The sequence below is a fragment of the Homo sapiens genome, chromosome 14 (assembly GCF_000001405.40).
Source record: "Homo sapiens chromosome 14, GRCh38.p14 Primary Assembly".
Lineage (NCBI taxonomy): Eukaryota > Metazoa > Chordata > Mammalia > Primates > Hominidae > Homo > Homo sapiens.
Genome location: NC_000014.9, coordinates 16,140,628 through 16,164,495, shown reverse-complemented (window position 1 = coordinate 16,164,495; position 23,868 = coordinate 16,140,628). Strand labels below are relative to the sequence as shown.

The window sequence follows — 23,868 nt, the reverse complement described above, 5'->3', positions numbered from 1 at the left end:
AGATTACTTATAATGATTCTGTCTAGTTTTGATGTGAAGATATTTGCTTTTCCACCAGTGGCCTCAAACTCTCCAAATATCCACTTGCAGATTCTACAATAAGAGTGTTTCAAAACTGCTCAATCAAAAGAAAGGTTCAACACTCTGAGATGAATGCACACGTCACAAAGCACTTTCTTAGAATGCTTCTGTCTAGCTTTTATGTGAAGATATTTCCTTTTTCACCATAGGCTGCAAAGCGCTCCAAATATCCCTTTCAGATTCAACAGAAAGAGTGTTTCAAAACTGTTCAATCAAAAGAGAAACACAACTCTGGTTATGAATGCACGCATCACATAGTAGTTTCTCATCATGTTTCTGTCTATTTTTTATGTGAAGTTATTTCATTTTCCACTATAGGCCGTAATGCACTCCTAATATCCACTTGCAGATTCTACAAAAGACTGTTTGCAAACTGCTCAAACAAAAGAAAAGTTCAACTCTGTGAGTTGAATGAGCACATCACAAAGAAGTTTCTCAGAATGCTTCTGTCTAGTTTCTATGTGAATATATTTCCTTTTCCACTATAGGCCGTAATGCGCTCCAAATATCCACTTGCAGTTTCTACAAAAAGACTGTTTCCAAACTGCTCAATCAAAAGAAAAGCTCAACTCTGTGAGTTGAATGAGCACATCAGAAAGAAGTTTCTCAGAATGCTTCTGTCTAGTTTTTAAGTGAATATATTTCCTTTTCCACCACAGGCCACAAACACTCCAAATATCCACTTGAAGATTCTACAAAAAGAGTGCTTCAAAAATGCTCAATCAAAAGAAAGTTTCAACTCTTTGAGATGGATGCACACATCACAAAGAAGCTTCTCAGAATGTTTCTGTCTAGTTTTTTTGTGAAGATATTTCCTTTTCCACCGTAGTCCTCAAGTCTCTCCAAATATCTACTTTCAGAATCTCCAAAAAGAGTGTTTGAAAACTGCTGTACCAAAGAAAGTTTCATGTCTGAGATATGACTGCATACAACACAGAGAAGTTTCTCAAAGTGCTTCTGTTTATTTTTCTTATGAAGATATTTCCTTTTCCACTATGGGCCACAGAGCGCTCCAAATATCCACTGGCAGATTCTACAAAAAGAGTGTTTCAAAACTGCTCAATCAATAGAAAGTTTGAAGTCTGTGAGATGAATGTGCACATCACAAAGGAGTTTCTAAGAATGCTTCCATCTGAATTTTATGTGAGGATATTTCCTTTTTCACCATAGGCCTCAATACGCTCCAAATATCCATTTATAGATAATACAAATGACTGTATCCAAACCGCTCAATCAAAAGAAAGTTCAACTTGTGTATGATGAATACACACATCACAAGGAAGTTTCTCAGAAAGTTTTTGTCTAATTTTTAGGTGAAGTTATTTCTTACTTCCCCAGAGGCCTCAATGGGCTCTCAAATATTCCCTTTCATATTCTACTAAACGACTGTATCGAATCTGCTCAATCAAAAGAAAGGTTTAACAGTGTGAGACGAAAATACACCTTCCTGGGAAGTTTCTCAGAATTCTTCTTTCTAGGTTTTTATGTGAAGATATTTCCTTTTCCACTATAGGCCTCAAAGCGTTCCAAATATCCACTTGCAGATCCTACAAATAGAGCCTTTCAAAACTGCTCAATCGAAAGAAAGGTTCAACTCTGTGAGATGAATGCAGACATCAAAAAGAAGTTTCTCAGAATGCTTCCGCCTTGTTTTTATGTGAAGATATTTCCTTTTTCACCATAGGCCTCAAAGCACTGGTAATATCCATTTGTAGATACTACAAAAAGACTGTTCCCAAACTGCTCAATAAAAAGAAAGTTTCAACTCTATGAGATAAAAGCTAATATCACAAAGAAGTTTCTCAGAAACTTTCTATCTAGTTTTTATGTGAACATATTTCTTATCACCCCATAGACCTCAATCGGCTCACAAGTATCCTTCTGCAGATTGTAAAAAACTACTGTTTCCAAACCGCTCAATCACAGGAAAGGTTTAACTCTGTGAAATGAATGCATCCATCCCAGAGAAGTTTCTCAGAATGCTTCCGTCTCGTTTCCATGTGAAGAAGATTCCTTTTCCACCATATTCCTCATGCGCTCCAAATAAACACTTGCAGATTCCGCTAAAAGAGTGTTTCAAAACTGCTCAATCAAAAGAAAGGTTCTAGTCGGTGAGATGAATGCACACATCACAAAGAAGTTTCTATGAATGCTTCTGTCTGATTTATATTGAAGATATTTCCTTTTTAACCGTAGGCCTCAGAGTGCTTAAAATATCCATTTGCAGATACTAGAAAAGACTGTTTCCAAACTGCTCAATCAAAATAAAGTTCAACTCAGTGAGATGAATGCACACATCACCAAGACGTTTCTGAGAAAGATTCTGTCTCGTTTTTATGTGAAGATATTTCCTGTTTCCCCAGAGGCATCAATGGGCTCACAAATATTCCTTTGCACATTCTACAAAATGACTGTTTAGAAGGTGCTCAATCAAAAAAAAATTTCAACAGTGTGAGATGAATGCGCCCATTCAAAGGAAGTTTCTCAGAATTCTTCTGTCCAGTTTTTATGTGAAGATATTTCCTTTTTCACTATAGGCCACAAAGCACTCAAAATATCCACTTGCAGACTCTACAAAAAGAGTGTTTCCACACTGCTCAATCAAAAGAAAAGTTCAACTGTGTGAGATGAATGCACACATCACAAAGAAATTTCTCCAAAAGCTTCTGCCTACTTTTTATGGGAAGATATTTTGTTTTTCAACATAGGCCAAAAGCACTCCAAATATCAATTTGCAGATTCTACAAAAAGACCGTTTCCAAACTGCTCAATCAAGAGAAAGTTTCAACCCGGTGAGTAGAAGTCACACATGACAAAATAGTTTCTCAGAAAGTATCTGTCTAGTTTTTACGTGAAGATATTTCCTATCACCCCAGAAGCCTCAATGGGCTCACAATATTCCTTTGCAGATTCTACAAAACGACAGTTTCAAAACTGCTGAATCAAAAGAAAGGTTCAACTCTGGGAGATGAATGCACAGATCACAAATAAGTTTCTCAGAATGCTGCTGTCTAGTTTTTATGGGAAGATATTTCCTTTTCCACCATAGGCCTCAAAGCTCTCCAAATATCCATTTGCAGACACTGTAAAAAGACTGTTTCCAAACTGCTGAATCAAAAGAAAGGTTGAACTCCATGAGTTGAATGCACACGTCACAAAGGCGTTTCTCAGAATGCTTGTGTCTAGCTTTTATGTGAAGATGTTTCCTTTTCCACCAGAGGCCTCAAAGTGCTTCAAATATACACTTGCAGATCTTGCAAAAAGAGTGTTTCAAAACTGCTCAATCAAAAGAAAGGTTGAAGTCTGTGAGATGAATGTACACATCACAAAGAAGTTTCTAAGAATGCTTCTGTCTGGTTTTATGTAAAGATATTTCCTTTTCTACTATAGGCCACAAAGCACTCCAAATATCAACTTGCAGATTCTGCAGAAAGAGTTTTTCAAAGCTGCTCAATCAAAAGAAAAGTTCAACTCTTTGAGATGAATGCACACATCAGGAAGTTCCTCAGAATGCTTCTATTTTTATGTGAAGATATAGCCTTTTCTACCATAGACGACAAAACGCTCCAAATATCCCCTTGCAGTTTCTACTAAAAGAGTGTTTCCAAACTGCTCAATCAAAAGAAGTTTCAACTCTGTGAGATGAATGCACTCATCAATAAGAAGTTTCTCAGTAATTTTCTGTCTAGTTTTTATGTGAAGATATTTCCTTTCCTACTATAGGCCTGAAAGTGCTCCAAATATCCGTTTGCAGATACTGCAAAAAGACTGTTTCCAAACTGCTCAATCAAAGGAAATGTCCAAATGCTGTGAGTTGAATGCACGCATCTCAAAGAGATTACTCATAATGATTCTGTCTAGTTTTGATGTGAAGATATTTGCTTTTCCACCAGTGGCCTCAAACTCTCCAAATATCCACTTGCAGATTCTACAATAAGAGTGTTTCAAAACTGCTCAATCAAAGAAAGGTTCAACACTGTGAGATGAATGCACACGTCACAAAGCACTTTCTTAGAATGCTTCTGTCTAGTTTTTATGTGAAGATATTTCGTTTTTCACCATAGGCCGCAAGGCGTTCCAAATATCCCCTTCAGATTCTACAGAAAGAGTGTTTCAAAACTGTTCAATCAAAAGAAAGGTTCAACCCTGGTGATGAATGCACGCATCACAGAGCAGTTTCTCATAATATTTATCTGTCTAGTTTTTGTGTGTATATATTTCCTTTTCCACCACAGGCCCCAAAGCACTCCAAATATCCATTTGCAGGTACTACAAAAAGACTGTTTCCAAACTGCTCAATCAAAAGAAAAGTTTAAATCTGTGAGTTGAATGAGCACATCACAAATAAGTTTCTCAGAATGCTTCTGTCTAGTTTTTATGTGAATATATTTCCTTTTCCACTATAGGCCGTAATGCGCTCCAAATATCCACCTGCAGATTCTACAAAAAGACTGTTTCCAAACTGCTCAATCAAAAGAAAAGTTCAACTCTGTGAGATGAATGAGCACATCACAAAGAAGTTTCTCAGAATGCTTCTATCTAGTTTTTATGTGAATATATTTCCTTTTCCACCACAGGCCACAAACACTCCAAATATCCACTTGAAGATTCTACAAAAAGAGTGCTTCAAAAATGCTCAATCAAAAGAAAGGTTCAACTGCTTTGAGATGGATGCACACATCACAAAGAAGCTTCTCAGAATGTTTCTGTCTAGTTTTTTTGTGAAGATATTTCCTTTTCCACCGTAGTCCTCAAGTCTCTCCAAATATCTACTTTCAGAATCTCCATAAAGAGTGTTTTAAAACTGCTGTACCAAAGAAAGTTTCATGTCTGAGTTATGACTGCATACAACACAGAGAACTTTCTCAAAGTGCTTCTGTTTATTTTTCTTATGAAGATATTTCCTTTTCCACTATGGGCCACAGAGCGCTCCAAATATCCACTGGCAGATTCTACAAAAAGAGTGTTTCAAAACTGCTCAATCAGTAGAAAGTTTGAAGTGTGTGAGATGAATGTACACATCACAAAGGAGTTTCTAAGAATGCTTCCATCTGAATTTTATGTGAGGATATTTCCTTTTTCACCATAGGCCTCAGTACACTCCAAATATCCATTTACAGATAATACAAATGACTGTATCCAAACTGCTCAATCAAAAGAAAGTTCAACTGTGTATGATGAATGCACACATCACAAGGGTGTTTCTCAGAAAGTTTTTGTCTTGTTTTTAGGTGAAGATATTTCTTATTTCCCCAGAGGCCTCAATGGGATCTCAAATATTCCCTTTCATATTCTACTAAATGACTGTATCGAAGCTGCTCAATCAAAAGACGGGTTTAACAGTGTGAGACGAAAATACACCTTCCTAGGAAGTTTCTCAGAATTCTTCCTTCTAGGTTTTTATGTGAAGATATTTCGTTTTCCACTATAGGCCTCAAAGCGTTCCAAATATCCACTTGCAGATCCTACAAATAGAGCCTTTCAAAACTGCTCAATCAAAAGAAAGGTTCAACTCTGTGAGATGAATGCAGACATCAAAAAGAAGTTTCTCAGAATGCTTCCGCCTTGTTTTTATGTGAAGATATTTCCTTTTTCACCATAGGCCTCAAAGCACTGGTAATATCCATTTGCAGATACTACAAAAAGACTGTCCCCAAACTGCTCAATAAAAAGAAAGTTTCAACTCTAGGAGATAAAAGCAAATATCACAAAGAAGTTTCTCAGAAACTTTCTATCTAGTTTTTATGTGAACATATTTCTTATCACCCCATAGACCTCAATCGGCTCACAAGTATCCTTCTGCAGATTATAAAAAACGACTGTTTCCAAACCGCTCAATCACAGGAAAGGTTTAACTCTGTGAAATGAATGCACCCATCACAGAGAAGTTTCTCAGAATGCTTCTGTCTCGTTTTTATGTGAAGAAGATTCCTTTTCCACCATATTCCTCATGCACTCCAAATAAACACTTGCAGATTCTGCTAAAAGAGTGTTTCAAAACTGCTCAATCAAAAGAAAGGTTCTAGTCGGTGAGACGAATGCACACATCACAAAGAAGTTTCTATGAATGCTTCTGTCTGATTTATATTGAAGATATTTCCTTTTTCACCGTAGGCTTCAGAGTGCTTAAAATATCCATTTGCAGATACTAGAAAAGACACTTTCCAAACTGCTCAATCAAAATAAAGTTCAACTCAGTGAGATGAATGCACACATCACCAAGACGTTTCTGAGAAAGATTCTGTCTCGTTTTTATGTGAAGATATTTCCTATTTCCCCAGAGGCATCAATGGGCTCACAAATATTCCTTTGCATATTCTACAAAATGACTGTTTAGAAGGTGCTCAATCAAAAAAAAAAGTTCAACAATGTGAGATGAATGCGCACATTCAAAGGAAGTTTCTCAGAATTCTTCTATCTAGTTTTTATGTGAAGATATTTCCTTTTTCACTGTAGGCCACAAAGTGCTCCAAATATCCACTTGCAGACTCTACAAAACGAGTGTATCCACACTGCTCAATCAAAAGAAAATTTCAACTGTGTGAGATGAATGCACACATCAAAATAAATTTCTCCAAAACTTCTGCCTACTTTTTATGGGAAGATATTTCGTTTTTCAACGTAGGCCAAAAGCACTCCAAATATCAATTTGCAGATTCTACAAAAAGACTGTTTCCAAACTGCTCAATCAAGAGAAAGTTTCAACCTGGTGAGTAGAAGTCACACATGACAAAATAGTTTCTCAGAAAGTATCTGTCTAGTTTTTATGTGAAGATATTTCTTATCACCCCAGAAGCCTCAATGGGCTCACAAATATTCCTTTGCAGATTCTACAAAACGACAGTTTCAAAACTGCTGAATCAAAAGAAAGGTTCAACTCTGTGAGATGAATGCACAGATCACAAATAAGTTTCTCAGAATGCTGCTGTCTAGTTTTTATGGGAAGAGATTTCCTTTTCCACCATAGGCCTCAAAGCTCTCCAAATAGCCATTTGCAGATACTGTAAAAAGACTGTTTCCAAACTGCTGAATCAAAAGAAAGGTTGAACTCCATGAGTTGAATGCACACGTCACAAAGAAGTTTCTCAGAATTCTTCTGACTAGTTTTTATGTGAAGATATTTTCTTTTCCACCATAGGCCTCAAAGCGCTAAAAATATCCACTTGAAGATTCTACAGAAAGAGAGTTTCAAAACTGCTCAAACAAAAGAAAGATTCAACTCTGTGAGATGAATGCACACATCACAAAGAAGTTTCTCAGAATGCTTCTGTCTAGTTTTATGTGAAGATATTTCCTTTTCTACTATAGGCCGCAAAGTACTCCAAATATCAACTTGCAGATTCTGCAGAAAGAGTTTTTCAAAGCTGCTCAATCAAAAGAAAAGTTCAACTCTTTGAGATGAATGCACACGTCATGAAGAAGTTCCTCAGAATGCTTCTATTTTTATGTGAAGACATATCCTTTTCTACCATAGACCACAAAACGCTCCAAATATCCCCTTGCAGTTTCTACTAAAAGAGTGTTTCCAAACTGCTCAATCAAAAGAAGTTTCAACTCTGTGAGATGAATGCACACATCATTAAGAAGTTTCTCAGTAATTTTCTGTCTAGTTTTTATGTGAAGATATTTCCTTTCCTACTATAGGCCTGAAAGTGCTCCAAATATCCGTTTGCAGATACTGCAAAAAGACTGTTTCCACACTGCTCAATCAAAGGAAATGTCCAACTCTGTGAGTTCAATGCACGCATCTCAAAGAGATTACTTATAATGATTCTGTCTAGTTTTGATGTGAAGATATTTGCTTTTCCACCAGTGACCTCAAACTCTCCAAATATCCACTTGCAGATTCTACAATAAGAGTGTTTCAAAACTGCTCAATCAAAAGAAAGCTTCAACACTGTGAGATGAATGCACACGTCACAAAGCACTTTCTTAGAATGCATCTGTCTAGCTTTTATGTGAAGATATTTCCTTTTTCACCATAGGCTGCAAAGCGCTCCAAATATCCCTTTCAGATTCTACAGAAAGAGAGTTTCAAAACTGTTCAATCAAAAGAGAAACTCAACTCTGGTGATGAATGCACGCATCACAAAGCAGTTTCTCATAATATTTCTGTCTAGTTTTTATGTGAAGATATTTCATTTTCCACTATAGGCCGTAATGCACTCCTAATATCCACTTGCAGATTCTACAGAAAGACTGTTTGCAAACTGCTCAAACAAAAGAAAAGTTCAACTCTGTGAGTTGAATGAGCACATCACAAAGAAGTTTCTCAGCATGCTTCTGTCTAGTTTTTATGTGAATATATTTCCTTTTCCACTATAGGCCGTAATGCACTCCTAATATCCACTTGCAGATTCTACAAAAAGACTGTTTCCAAACTGCTCAATCAAAAGAAAAGCTCAACTCTGTGAGTTGTATGAGCACATCACAAAGAAGTTTCTCAGAATGCTTCTATCTAGTTTTTATGTGAATATATTTCCTTTTCCACCACAGGCCACAAACCCTCCAAATATCCACTTGAAGATTCTACAAAAAGAGTGCTTCAAAAATGCTCAATCAAAAGAAAGGTTCAACTCTTCGAAATGGACGCACACATCACAAAGAAGCTTCTCAGAATGTTTCTGTCTAGTTTTTTTGTGAAGATATTTCCTTTTCCACCGTAGTCCTCAAGTCTCTCCAAATATCTACTTTCAGAATCTCCAAAAAGAGTGTTTTAAAACTGCTGTACCAAAGAAAGTTTCATGTCTGAGTTATGACTGCATACAACACAGAAAACTTTCTCAAAGTGCTTCTGTTTATTTTTTTTATGAAGATATTTCCTTTTCCACTATGGGCAACAGAACGCTCCAAATATCCACTGGCAGATTCTACAAAAAGAGTGTTTCAAAACTGCTCAATCAATAGAAAGTTTGAAGTCTGTGAGATGAATGCACACATCACATAGGAGTTTCTAAGAATGCTTCCATCTGAATTTTATGTGAGGATATTTCCTTTTTCACCATAGGCCTCAATACACTCCAAATATCCATTTACAGAAAATACAAATGACTGTATCCAAACTGCTCAATCAAAAGAAATTTCAACTGTGCATGATGAATGCACACATCACAAGGGGGTTTCTCAGAAAGATTTTGTCTAGTTTTTAGGTGAAGATATTTCTTATTTCCCCAGAGGCCTCAATGGGCTCTCAAATATTCCCTTTCATATTCTACTAAATGACTGTATCGAAGCTGCTCAATCAAAAGACGGGTTTAACAGTGTGAGACGAAAATACAGCTTCCTAGGAAGTTTCTCAGAATTCTTCTTTCTAGTTTTTTATGTGAAGATATTTCCTTTTCCACTATAGGCCTCAAAGCGTTCCAAATATCCACTTGCAGATACTACAAATAGAGCGTTTCAAAACTGCTCAATCAAAAGAAATGTTCAACTCTGTGAGATGAATGCAGACATCAAAAAGAAGTTTCTCAGAATGCTTCTGCCTTGTTTTTATGTGAAGATATTTCCTTTTTCAAAATAGGCCTCAAAGCACTGGTAATATCCATTTGCAGATACTACAAAAAGACTGTTCCCAAACTGCTCAATAAAAATAAAGTTTCAACTCTATGAGATAAAAGCAAATATCACAAAGAAGTTTCTCAGAAACTTTCTGTCTAGTTTTTATGTGAACATATTTCCTATCGCCCCATAGGCCTCAATCAGCTCAAAAATATCCTTCTGCAGATTATACAAAACAAATGTTTCCAAACCATTCAATCACAGGAAGGGTTTAACTTTGTGAAATGAATGCGCCCATCACAGAAAAGTTTCTCAGAATGTTTCCGTCTCGTTTTCATGTGAAGAAGATTCCTTTTCCACCATATTCCTCATGCGTTCCAAATAAACACTTGCAGATTCCGCTAAAAGAGTGTTTCAAAACTGCTCAATCAAAAGAAAGGTTCTAGTCGGTGAGATGAATGCACACATCCCAAAGAAGTTTCTATGAATGCTTCTGTCTGATTTATATTGAAGATATTTCCTTTTTCACTGTAGGCCTCAGAGTGCTTAAAATATCCATTTGCAGATACTAGAAAAGACTGTTTCCAAACTGCTCAATCAAAATAAAGTTCAACTCAGTGAGATGAATGCACACATCACCAAGACGTTTCTGAGAAAGATTTCTGTCTCGTTTTTATGTGAAGATATTTCCTGTTTCCCCAGAGGCATCAATGGGCTCACAAATATTCCTTTGCATATTCTACAAAATGACTGTTTAGAAGGTGCTCAATCAAAAAAAAAAGTTCAACAGTGTGAGATGAATGCGCCCATTCAAAGGAAGTTTCTCAGAATTCTTCTATCTAGTTTTTATGTGAAGATATTTCCTTTTTCACTGTAGGCCACAAAGTGCTCCAAATATCCACTTGCAGACGCTACAAAACGAGTGTATCCACACTGCTCAATCAAAAGAAAATTTCAACTGTGTGAGATGAATGCACACATCAAAATAAATTTCTCCAAAACTTCTGCCTACTTTTTATGGGAAGATATTTCGTTTTTCAACGTAGGCCAGAAGCACTCCAAATATCAATTTGCAGATTCTACAAAAAGACTGTTTCCAAACTGCTCAATCAAGAGAAAGTTTCAACCTGGTGAGTAGAAGTCACACATGACAAAATAGTTTCTCAGAAAGTATCTGTCTAGTTTTTATGTGAAGATATTTCCTATCACCCCAGAAGCCTCCATGGGCTCACAAATATTCCTTTGCAGATTCTACAAAACGACAGTTTCAAAACTGCTGAATCAAAAGAAAGGTTCAACTCCGTGAGATGAATGCACAGATCACAAATAAGTTTCTCAGAATGCTGCTGTCTAGTTTTTATGGGAAGAGATTTCCTTTTCCACCATAGGCCTCAAAGCTCTCCAAATATCCATCTGCAGATACTGTAAAAAGACTGTTTCCAAACTGCTGAATCAAAAGAAAGGTTGAACTCCATGAGTTGAATGCACACGTCACAAAGAAGTTTCTCAGAATGCTTGTGTCTAGTTTTTATGTGAAGATGCTTCCTTTTCCACCAGAAGCCTCAAAGCACTTCAAATATACACTTGCAGATACTGCAAAAAGAGTGTTTCAAAACTGCTCAATCAATAGAAAGTTTGAAGTCTGTGAGATGAATGCACACATCACAAAGAAGTTTCTGAGAATGCTTCTGTCTAGTTTTATGTAAAGATATTTCCTTTTCTACTATAGGCCACAAAGCACTCCAAATATCAACTTGCAGATTCTGCAGAAAGAGATTTTCAAAGCTGCTCAATCAAAAGAAAAGTTCAACTCTTTGAGATTAATGCACACATCATGAAGTTCCTCAGAATGCTTCTATTTTTATGTGAAGATATAGCCTTTTCTGCCATAGACCACAAAACGCTCCAAATATCCCCTTGCAGTTTCTACTAAAAGAGTGTTTCCAAACTGCTCAATCAAAAGAAAGTTTCAACTCTGTGAGATGAATGCACACATCATAAAGAAGTTTCTCAGTAATTTTCTGTCTAGTTTTTATGTGAAGATATTTCCTTTCCTACTATAGGCCTGAAAGTGCTCCAAATATCCGCTTGCAGATACTGCAAAAAGACTGTTTCCAAACTGCTCAATCAAAGGAAACGGTCCAACTCTGTGAGTTGAATGCACTGCATCTCAAAGAGATTACTTATAATGATTCTGTCTAGTTTTGATGTGAAGATATTTGCTTTTCCACCAGTGACCTCAAACTCTCCAAATATCCACTTGCAGATTCTACAATAAGAGTGTTTCAAAACTGCTCAATCAAAAGAAAGGTTCAACACTGTGAGATGAATGCACACGTCACAAAGCACTTTCTTAGAATGCTTCTGTCTAGCTTTTATGTGAAGATATTTCCTTTTTCACCATAGGCTGCAAAGCGCTCCAAATATCCCTTTCAGATTCTACAGAAAGAGTGTTTCAAAACTGATCAATCAAAAGAGAAATTCAACTCTGGTGATGAATGCACGCATCACAAAGCAGTTTCTCATAATGTTTCTGTCTAGTTTTTATGTGAAGGTATTTCGTTTTCCACTATAGGCCGTAAAGCACTCCAAATATCCACTTGCAGATTCTACAAAAAGACTGTTTCCAAACTACTCAATCAAAAGAAATGTTCAACTTTTTTAGTTGAATGCACGCATCACAAAGAAGTTTCTCAGCATGCTTCTGTCTAGTTTTTATGTGAATATATTTCCTTTTCCACTATAGGCCATCATGCGCTCCAAATATCCACTTGCAGATTCTACAAAAAGACTGTTTCCAAACTGCTCAATCAAAAGAAAAGCTCAACTCTGTGAGTTGAATGAGCACATCACAAAGAAGTTTCTCAGAATGCTTCTATCTAGTTTTTATGTGAATATATTTCCTTTTCCACCACAGGCCACAAACACTCCAAATATCCACTTGAAGATTCTACAAAAAGAGTGCTTCAAAAATGCTCAATCAAAAGAAAGGTTCAACTCTTCGAGATGGATGCACACATCACAAAGAAGCTTCTCAGAATGTTTCTGTCTAGTTTTTTGGTGAAGATATTTCCTTTTCCACCGTAGTCCTCAAGTCTCTCCAAATATCTACTTTCAGAATCTCCAAAAAGAGTGTTTTAAAACTGCTGTACCAAAGAAAGTTTCATGTCTGAGATATGACTGCATACAACACAGAGAAGTTTCTCAAAGTGCTTCTGTTTATTTTTTTGATGAAGATATTTCCTTTTCCACTATTGGCCACAGAGCGCTCCAAATATCCACTGGCAGATTCTACAAAAAGAGTGTTTCAACACTGCTCAATCAATAGAAAGTTTGAAGTCTGTGAGATGAATGTACACATCACAAAGGAGTTTCTAAGAATGCTTCCATCTGAATTTTATGTGAGGATATTTCCTTTTTCACCATAGGCGTCAGTACATTCCAAATATCCATTTACAGATAATACAAATGACTGTATCCAAACTGCTCAATCAAAAGAAAGTTCAACTGTGTATGATGAATGCACACATCACAAGGGTGTTTCTCAGAAAGTTTTTGTCTAGTTTTTAGATGAAGATATTTCTTATTTCCCAAGAGGCCTCAATGGGCTCTCAAATATTCTCTTTCAGATTCTACTAAATGACTGTATCGAAGCTGCTCAATCAAAAGAAAGGTTCAACAGTGTGAGAAGAAAGCACACATTCCTAGGAAGTTTCTCAGAATTCTTCTTTCTAGTTTTTTATGTGAAGATATTTCCTTTTCCACTATAGGCCTCAAAGCGTTCCAAATATCCACTTGCAGATACTACAAATAGAGCGTTTCAAAACTGCTCAATCAAAAGAAAGGTTCAACTCTGTGAGATGAATGCAGACATCAAAAAGAAGTTTCTCAGAATTCTTCTGCCTTGTATTTATGGGAAGATATTTCCTTTTTCACCATAGGTCTCAAAGCACTGGTAATATCCATTTGCAGATACTACAAAAAGACTGTTCCCAAACTGCTCAATCAAAAGAAAGTTTCAACTCTGTGAGATGAAAGCAAATATCACAAAGAAGTTTCTCATAAATTTTCTATCTAGTTTTTATGTGAACATATTTCTTATCACCCCATAGACCTCAATCGGCTCACAAGTATCCTTCTGCAGATTGTAAAAAACTACTGTTTCCAAACCGCTCAGTCACAGGAAAGGTTTAACTCTGTGAAATGAATGCATCCATCACAGAGAAGTTTCTCAGAATGCTTCCGTCCGTTTTCATGTGAAGAAGATTCCTTTTCCACCATATTCCTCATGCGCTCCAAATAAACACTTGCAGATTCCGCTAAAAGAGTGTTTCAAAACTGCTCAATCAAAAGAAAGGTTCTAGTCGGTGAGATGAATGCACACATCACAAAGAAGTTTCTATGAATGCTTCTGTCTGATTTATATTGAAGATATTTCCTTTTTCACCGTAGGCCTCAGAGTGTTTAAAATATCCATTTGCAGATACTAGAAAAGACTGTTTCCAAACTGCTCAATCAAAATAAAGTTCAACTCAGTGAGATGAATGCACACATCACCAAGACGTTTCTGAGAAAGATTCTGTCTCGTTTTTATGTGAAGATATTTCCTGTTTCCCCAGAGGCATCAATGGGCTCACAAATATTCCTTTGCATATTCTACAAAATGACTGTTTAGAAGGTGCTCAATCAAAAAAGAAGTTCAACAGTGTGAGATGAATGCGCCCATTCAAAGGAAGTTTCTCAGAATTCTTCTATCTAGTTTTTATGTGAAGATATTTCCTTTTTCACTATAGGCCACAAAGTGCTCCAAATATCCACTTGCAGACTCTACAAAACGAGTGTATCCACACTGCTCAATCAAAAGAAAATTTCAACTGTGTGAGATGAATGCACACATCAAAATAAATTTCTCCAAAATTTCTGCCTACTTTTTATGGGAAGATATTTCGTTTTTCAACGTAGGCCAAAAGCACTCCAAATATCAATTTGCAGATTCTACAAAAAGACTGTTTCCAAACTGCTCAATCAACAGAATGTTTCAACCCGGTGAGTAGAAGTCACACATGACAAAATAGTTTCTCAGAAAGTATCTGTCTAGTTTTTATGTGAAGATATTTCCTATTACCCCAGAAGCCTCAATGGGCTCACAAATATTCCTTTGCAGATTCTACAAAACGACAGTTTCAAAACTGCTGAATCAAAAGAAAGGTTCAACTCTGTGAGATGAATGCACAGATCACAAATAAGTTTCTCAGAATGCTTCTGTCTAGTTTTTATGTGAAGATATTTCCTTTTCCACCATAGGCCTCAAAGCTCTCCAAATATCCATTTGCAGATACTACAAAAAGACTGTTTCCAAACTGCTGAATCAAAAGAAAGGTTCAACTACATGAGTTGAATGCACACATCACAAAGAAGTTTCTCAGAAAGCTTGTGTCTAGTTTTTATGTGAAGATGTTTCCTTTTCCACCACAGGCCTCAAAGCGCTTCAAATATACACTTGCAGATCCTGCAAAAAGAGTGTTTCAAAACTGCTCAATCAAAAGAAAGGTTGAAGTCTGTGAGATGAATGCACTCCTCACAAAGTAGTTTCTAAGAATGCTTCTGTCTAGTTTTATGTAAAGATATTTCCTTTTCTACTATAGGCCACAAAGCACTCCAAATATCAACTTGCAGATTCTGCAGAAAGAGTTTTTCAAAGCTGCTCAGTCAAAAGACAAGTTCAACTCTTTGAGATGAATGCACACATCATGAAGTTCCTCAGAATGCTTCTATTTTTATGTGAAGATATATCCTTTTCTACCATAGACCACAAAACGCTCCAAATATCCCCTTGCAGTTTCTACTAAAAGAGTGTTTCCAAACGGCTCAATCAAAAGAAAGTTTCAACTCTGTGAGATGAATGCACACATCATTAAGAAGTGTCTCAGTAATTTTCTGTCTAGTTTTTATGTGAAGATATTTCCTTTCCTACTATAGGCCTGAAAGTGCTGCAAATATCCGTTTGCAGATACTGCAAAAAGACTGTTTCCACACTGCTCAATCAAAGGAAATGTCCAACTCTGTGAGTTGAATGCATGCATCTCAAAGAGATTACTTATAATGATTCTGTCTAGTTTTTAGGTGAAGATATTCCCTTTTAAACTGTAGTCTGCAAAGCACTCCAAATATACACTTGCAGATTCTACAAAAAGAGTGTTTCAAAATTGCTCAATCAAAAGAAGGGTTCAACAGTGTTAGTTGAATGCACACATCACAAAGAATTTTCCCAGAATGCTTCTGTCTAGCTTTTATGTGAAGATATTTCCTTTTTCACCATAGGCTGCAAAGCGCTGCAAATATCCCTTTCAGATTCTACAGAAAGAATGTTTCAAAACTGTTCAATCAAAAGAGAAACTCAACTCTGGTGATGAATGCACGCATCACAAAGCAGTTTCTCATAATGTTTCTGTCTAGTTTTTATGTGAAGATATTTCATTCTCCATTATAGGCCGTAATACACTCCTAATATCCACTTGCAGATTCTACAAAAAGACTGTTTGCAAACTGCTCAAACAAAAGAAAAGTTCAACTCTGTGAGTTGAATGAGCACATCACAAAGAAGTTTCTCAGAATGCTTCTGTCTAGTTTTTATGTGAATATATTTCCTTTTCCACTATAGGTCGTCATGCGCTCCAAATATCCACTTGCAGATTCTACAAAAAGACTGTTTCCAAACTGCTCAATCAAAAGAAAAGCTCAACTCTGTGAGTTGAATGAGCACATCACAAAGAAGTTTCTCAGAATGCTTCTGTCTAGTTTTTATGTGAAGATATTTCCTTTTCCACCACAGGCCACAAAGCATTCCAAATATCCACTTGAAGATTCTACAAAAAGAGTGCTTCAAAAATGCTCAATCAAAAGAAAGGTTCAACTCTTTGAGATGGATGCACATATCACAAAGAAGCTTCTCAGAATGCTTCTGTCTACTTTTTTTGTGAAGATATTTCCTTTTCCACCGTAGTCCTCAAGTCTCTCCAAATACCTACTTTCAGAATCTCCAAAAAGAGTGTTTTAAAACTGCTGTACCAAAGAAAGTTTCATGTCTGAGATATGACTGCATACAACACAGAGAACTTTCTCAAGGTGCTTCTGTTTATTTTTTTTATGAAGATATTTCCTTTTCCACTATGGGCCACAGTAGCGCTCCAAATATCCACTGGCAGATTCTACAAAAAGAGTGTTTCAAAACTGCTCAATCAATAGAAAGTTTGAAGTCTGTGAGATGAGTGCACACATCACAAAGGAGTTTCTAAGAATGCTTCCATCTGAATTTTATGTGAGGATATTTCCTTTTTCACCATAGGCCTCAGTACACTCCAAATATCCATTTACAGATAGTACAAATGACTGTATCCAAACTGCTCAATCAAAAGAAAGTTCAACTGTGTATGATGAATGCACACATCACAAGGGTGTTTCTCAGAAAATTTTTGTCTAGTTTTTAGGTGAAGATATTTCTTATTTCCCAAGAGGCCTCAATGGGCTCTCAAATATTCTCTTTCAGATTCTACTAAATGACTGTATCGAAGCTGCTCAATCAAAAGAAAGGTTCAACAGTGTGAGAAGAAAGTACACATTCCTAGGAAGTTTCTCAGAATTCTTCTTTCTAGGTTTTTATGTGAAGATATTTCCTTTTCCACTATAGGCCTCAAAGCGTTCCAAATATCCACTTGCAGATACTACAAATAGAGCGTTTCTAAACTGCTCAATCAAAAGAAAGGTTCAACTCTGTGAGATGAATGCAGACATCAAAAAGAAGTTTCTCAGAATGCTTCTGCCTTGTTTTTATGTGAAGATATTTCCTTTTTCACCATAGGCCTCAAAGCACTGGTAATATCCATTTGCAGATACTACAAAAAGACTGTTCCCAAACTGCTCAATAAAAAGAAAGTTTCAACTCTATGAGATAAAAGCAAATATCACAAAGAAGTTTCTCAGAATCTTTCTATCTAGTTTTTATGTGAACATATTTCTTATCTCCCCATAGACCTCAATCAGCTCACAAGTATCCTTCTGCAGAGTGTAAAAAACTACTGTTTCCAAACCGTTCAATCACAGGAAAGGTTTAACTCTGTGAAATGAATGCATCCATCACAGAGAAGTTTCTCAGAATGCTTCCGTCTCGTTTCCATGTGAAGAATATTCCTTTTCCACCATATTCCTCATGCGCTCCAAATAAACACTTGCAGATTCCGCTAAAAGAGTGTTTCAAAACTGCTCAATCAAAAGAAAGGTTCTAGTCGGTGAGATGAATGCACACATCACAAAGAAGTTTCTATGAATGCTTCTGTCTGATTTATATTGAAGATATTTCCTTTTTCACCGTAGGCCTCAGAGTGCTTCAAATATCCATTTGCAGATAGTAGAAAAGACTGTTTCCAAACTGCTCAATCAAAATAAAGTTCAACTCAGTGAGATGAATGCACACATCACCAAGACGTTTCTGAGAAAGATTCTGTCTCGTTTTTATGTGAAGATATTTCCTGTTTCCCCAGAGGCATCAATGGGCTCACAAATATTCCTTTGCATATTCTACAAAATGACTGTTTAGAAGGTGCTCAATCAAAAAAAGAGTTCAACAGTGTGAGATGAATGCGCCCATTCAAAGGAAGTTTCTCAGAATTCTTTTATCTAGTTTTTATGTGAAGATATTTCCTTTTTCACTATAGGCCGCAAAGTGCTCCAAATATCCACTTGCAGACTCTACAAAACGAGTGTATCCACACTGCTCAATCAAAAGAAAATTTCAACTGTGTGAGATGAATGCACACATCAAAATAAATTTCTCCAAAACTTCTGCCTACTTTATATGGGAAGATATTTCGTTTTACAACGTAGGCCAAAAGCACTCCAAATATCAATTTGCAGATTCTACAAAAAGACTGTTTCCAAACTGCTCAATCAAGAGAAAGTTTCAACCCAGTGAGTAGAAGTCACACATGACAAAATAGTTTCTCAGAAAGTATCTGTCTAGTTTTTATGTGAAGATATTTCCTATCACCCCATACGTCTCAATGGGCTCAAAAATATCCCTCTGCAGATTCTACGAAACGATTGTTTCCAAACTGTTCAATACAAGGAAAGGTTCAACTCCGTGAAGTGAATACACCCATCAGGCAGAAGTTTCTCAGAATGCTTGCTGTCTAGTTTTTATGGGAAGAGATTTCCTTTTCCACCATAGGCCTCAAAGCTCTCCAAATATCCATTTGCAGATACTGTAAAAAGACTGTTTCCAAACTGCTGAATCAAAAGAAAGGTTGAACTCCATGAGTTGAATGCACACGTCACAAAGAAGTTTCTCAGAATGCTTCTGACTAGTTTTTATGTGAAGATATTTTCTTTTCCAACATAGGCCTCAAAGCGCTGAAAATATCCACTTGAAGATTCTACAAAAAGAGAGTTTCAAAACTGCTCAAACAAAAGAAAGATTCAACTCTGTGAGATGAATGCACACATCACAAAGAAGTTTCTCAGAATGCTTCTGTCTAGTTTTATGTAAAGATATTTCCTTTTCTACTATAGGCCACAAAGCACTCCAAATATCAACTTGCAGATTCTGCAGAAAGAGTTTTTCAAAGCTGCTCAATCAAAAGAAAAGTTCAACTCTTTGTGATGAATGCACACATCATGAAGTTCCTCAGAATGCTTCTATTTTTATGTGAAGATATAGCCTTTTCTACCATAGACCACAAAACGCTCCAAATATCCCCTTGCAGTTTCTACTAAAAGAGAGTTTCCAAACGGCTCAATCAAAAGAAGTTTCAACTCTGTGAGATGAATGCACACATCATTAAGAAGTTTCTCAGTAATTTTCTGTCTAGTTTTTAGGTGAAGATATTTCCTTTCCTACTATAGGCCTGAAAGTGCTCCAAATATCCGCTTGCAGATACTGCAAAAAGACTGTTTCCAAACTGCTCAATCAAAGGAAACGTCCAACTCTGTGAGTTGAATGCACGCATCTCAAAGAGATTACTTATAATGATCCTGTCTAGTTTTGATGTGAAGATATTTGCTTTTCCACCAGTGGCCTCAAACTCTCGAAATATCCACTTGCAGATTCTACAATAAGAGTGTTTCAAAAGTGCTCAATCAAAAGAAAGGTTCAACACTGTGAGATGAATGCACACGTCACAAAGCACTTTCTTAGAATGCTTCTGTCTAGCTTTTATGTGAAGATATTTGCTTTTTCACCATAGGCTGCAAAGCGCTCCAAATATCCCTTTCAGATTCTACAGAAAGAGTGTTTCAAAACTGTTCAATCAAAAGAGAAACTCAACTCTGGTGATGAATGCAAGCATCACAAAGCAGTTTCTCATAACGTTTCTGTCTATTTTTTATGTGAAGTTATTTCATTTTCCACTATAGGCCGTAATGCACTCCTAATATCCACTTGCAGATTCTACAAAAAGACTGATTGCAAACTGCTCAAACAAAAGAAAAGTTCAACTCTGTGAGTTGAATGAGCACATCACAAAGAAGTTTCTCAGAATGCTTCTGTCTAGTTTTTATGTGAATATATTTCCTTTTCCACTATAGGCCGTAATGCGCTCCAAATATCCACCTGCAGATTCTACAAAAAGACTGTTTCCAAACTGCTCAATCAAAAGAAAAGCTCAACTCTGTGAGTTGAATGAGCACATCACAAAGAAGCTCTCAGAATGCTTCTATCTAGTTTTTATGTGAATATATTTGCTTTTCCACCACAGGCCACAAACCCTCCAAATATCCACTTGAAGATTCTACAAAAAGAGTGCCTCAAAAATGCGCAATCAAAAGAAAGGTTCAACTCTTCGAGATGGACGCACACATCACAAAGAAGCTTCTCAGAATGTTTCTTTTTTGTCTGTCTAGTTTTTTTGTGAAGATATTTCCTTTTCCACCGTAGTCCTCAAGTCTCTCCAAATATCTACTTTCAGAATCTCCAAAAAGAGTGTTTTAAAACTGCTGTACCAAAGAAAGTTTCATGTCTGAGATATGACTGCATACAACACAGAGAACTTTCTTAAAGTGCTTCTGTTTATTTTTTTTATGAAGATATTTCCTTATCCACTATTGGCCACAGAGCGCTCCAAATATCCACTGGCAGATTCTACAAAAAGAGAGTTTCAAAACTGCTCAATCATTAGAAAGTTTGAAGTCTGTGAGATGAATGAACACAACACAAAGGAGTTTCTAAGAATGCTTCCATCTGATTTTTATGTGAAGATATTTCCTTTTTCACCATAGGCCTCATTACACTCCAAATATCCATTTATAGATAATACAAATGACTGTTTCCAAACTGCTCAATCAAAAGAAAGTTCAACTGCGTGTGATAAATGCACACATCACAAGGAAGTTGCTCAGAAAGTTTTGTCTTGTTTTTAGGTGAAGATATTTCTTATTTCCCCAGAGGCCTCAATGGGCTCTCAAATATTCCCTTTCATATTCTACTAAAAGACTGTATCGAAGCTGCTCAATCAAAAGACGGGTTTAACAGTGTGAGACGAAAATAAACCTTCCTAGGAAGTTTCTCAGAATTCTTTCTTTCTGGTTTTTTATGTGAAGATATTTCCTTTTCCACTATAGGCCTCAAAGCGTTCCAAATATCCACTTGCAGACACTACAAATAGAGCGTTTCAAAACTGCTCAATCAAAAGAAAGGTTCAACTCTGTGAGATGAATGCAGACATCAAAAAGAAGTTTCTCAGAATGCTTCTGCCTTGTTTTTATGTGAAGATATTTCCTTTTTCACCATAGGCCTCAAAGCCCTGGTAATATCCATTTGCAGATACTACAAAAAGACTGTTCCCAAACTGCTCAATAAAAAGAAAGTTTCAACTCTATGAGATAAAAGCAAATATCACAAAGAAGTTTCTCAGAAACTTTCTATCTAGTTTTTATGTGAACATATTTCTTATCACCCCATAGACCTCAATCGGCTCACAAGTATCCTTCTGCAGATTGTAAAAAACTACTGTTTCCAAACCGCTCAATCACAGGAAAGGTTTAACTCTGGGAAATGAATGCATCCATCACAGAGAAGTTTCTCAGAATGCTTCTGTCTCGTTTTTATGTGAAGAAGATTCCTTTTCCACCATATTCCTCATGCGCTTCAAACATACATTGCAGATTCTACAAAAAGAGTGTTTCAAAACTGCTAAATCAAAAGAAAAGTTCTAATCTGTGAGATGAATGCACACCTCACAAAGAAGTTTCTATGAATGCTTCTGTCTGATTTATATTGAAGATATTTCCTTTTTCACCGTAGGCCTCAGAGCGCTTAAAATATCCATTTGCAGATACTAGAAAAAGACTGTTTCCAAACTGCTCAATAAAAATAAAGTTCAACTCAGTGAGATGAATGCACACATCACAAAGAAGTTTCTGAGAAAGATTCTGTCTCGTTTTTATGTGAAGATATTTCCTGTTTCCCCAGAGGCATCAATGGGCTCACAAATATTCCTTTGCATATTCTACAAAATGACTGTTTAGACGGTGATCAATCAAAAAAAAAAGTTCAACAGTGTGAGATGAATGCGCCCATTCAAAGGAAGTTTCTCAGAATTCTTCTATCTAGTTTTTATGTGAAGATATTTCCTTTTTCACTATAGGCCACAAAGTGCTCCAAATATCCACTTGCAGACTCTACAAAACGAGTGTATCCACACTGCTCAATCAAAAGAAAATTTCAACTGTGTGAGATGAATGCACACATCAAAATAAGTTTCTCCAAAACTTCTGCCTACTTTTTATGGGAAGATATTTCGTTTTTCAACGTAGGCCAAAAGCACTCCAAATATCAATTTGCAGATTCTACAAAAAGACTGTTTCCAAACTGCTCAATCAAGAGAAAGTTTCAACCCTGTGAGTAGAAGTCACACATGACAAAATAGTTTCTCCGAAAGTATCTGTCTAGTTTTAATGTGAAGATATTTCCTATCACCCCAGAAGCCTCAATGGGCTCACAAATATTCCTTTGCAGATTCTACAAAACGACAGTTTCAAAACTGCTGAATCAAAAGAAAGGTTCAACTCTGTGAGATGAATGCACAGATCACAAATAAGTTTCTCAGAATGCTGCTGTCTAGTTTTTATGAGAAGAGATTTCCTTTTCCACCATAGGCGTCAATGCTCTCCAAATAGCCATTTGCAGATACTGTAAAAAGACTGTTTCCAAACTGCTGAATCAAAAGAAAGGTTGAACTCCATGAGTTGAATGCACACGTCACAAAGAAGTTTCTCAGAATGCTTTTGTCTAGTTTTTATGTTAAGATGTTTCCTTTTCCATTCCATGAAGTAAAGTGATGCAAATATCCATTTGTAGATATTACAAAAAGACTGCTTCCAAACTCCTCGATCAAAAGAAAGGTTCAACTCTGTGAGTTGAATGCACACATCACAAAAAATTTTCTCAGAATGCTTCTGTCTAGTTTTATGTAAAGATATTTCCTTTTCTACTATAGGCCACAAAGCACTCCAAATATCAACTTGCAGATTCTGCAGAAAGAGTTATTCAAAGCTGCTCAATCAAAAGAAAAGTTCAACTCCTTGAGACGAATGCACACATCATGAAGTTCCTCAGAATGCTTCTATTTTTATGTGAAGATATATCCTTTTCTACCATAGACCACAAAACTCTCCAAATATCCCCTTGCAGTTTCTACTAAAAGAGTGTTTCCAAACTGCTCAATCAAAAGAAAGTTTCAACTCTGTGAGATGAATGCACACATCATTAAGAAGTTTCTCAGTAATTTTCTGTGTAGTTTTTATGTGAAGATATTTCCTTTCCTACTATAGGCCTGAAAGTGCTCCAAATATCCGTTTGCAGATACTGCAAAAAGACTGTTTCCACACTGCTCAATCAAAGGAAATGTCCAACTCTGTGAGTTGAATGCACGCATCTCAAAGAGATTACTTATAATGATTCTGTCTAGTTTTGATGTGAAGATATTTGCTTTTCCACCAGTGGCCTCATACTCTCCAAATATCCACTTGCAGATTCTACAATAAGAGTGTTTCAAAACTGCTCAATCAAAAGAAAGCTTCAACACTGTGAGATGAATGCACACGTCACAAAGCACTTTCTTAGAATGCTTCTGTCTAGCTTTTATGTGAAGATATTTCCTTTTTCACCATAGGCTGCAAAGCGCTCCAAATATCCCTTTCAGATTCTTCAGAAAGAGTGTTTCAAAACTGTTCAATCAAAAGAGAAACTCAACTACTGGTGATGAATGCACGCATCACAAAGCAGTTTCTCATCATGTT

General features: G+C 36.4%; 1 annotated feature.

Annotated features, from left to right (window-relative positions):
- Positions 1-23,868: part of a centromere (Linear centromere model derived predominantly from reads generated in PMID: 17803354. This region does not represent an actual centromere sequence, as long-range ordering of repeats and unmapped WGS contigs is not provided by the model. For details of model production, see http://arxiv.org/abs/1307.0035.) that runs on past both edges of the window.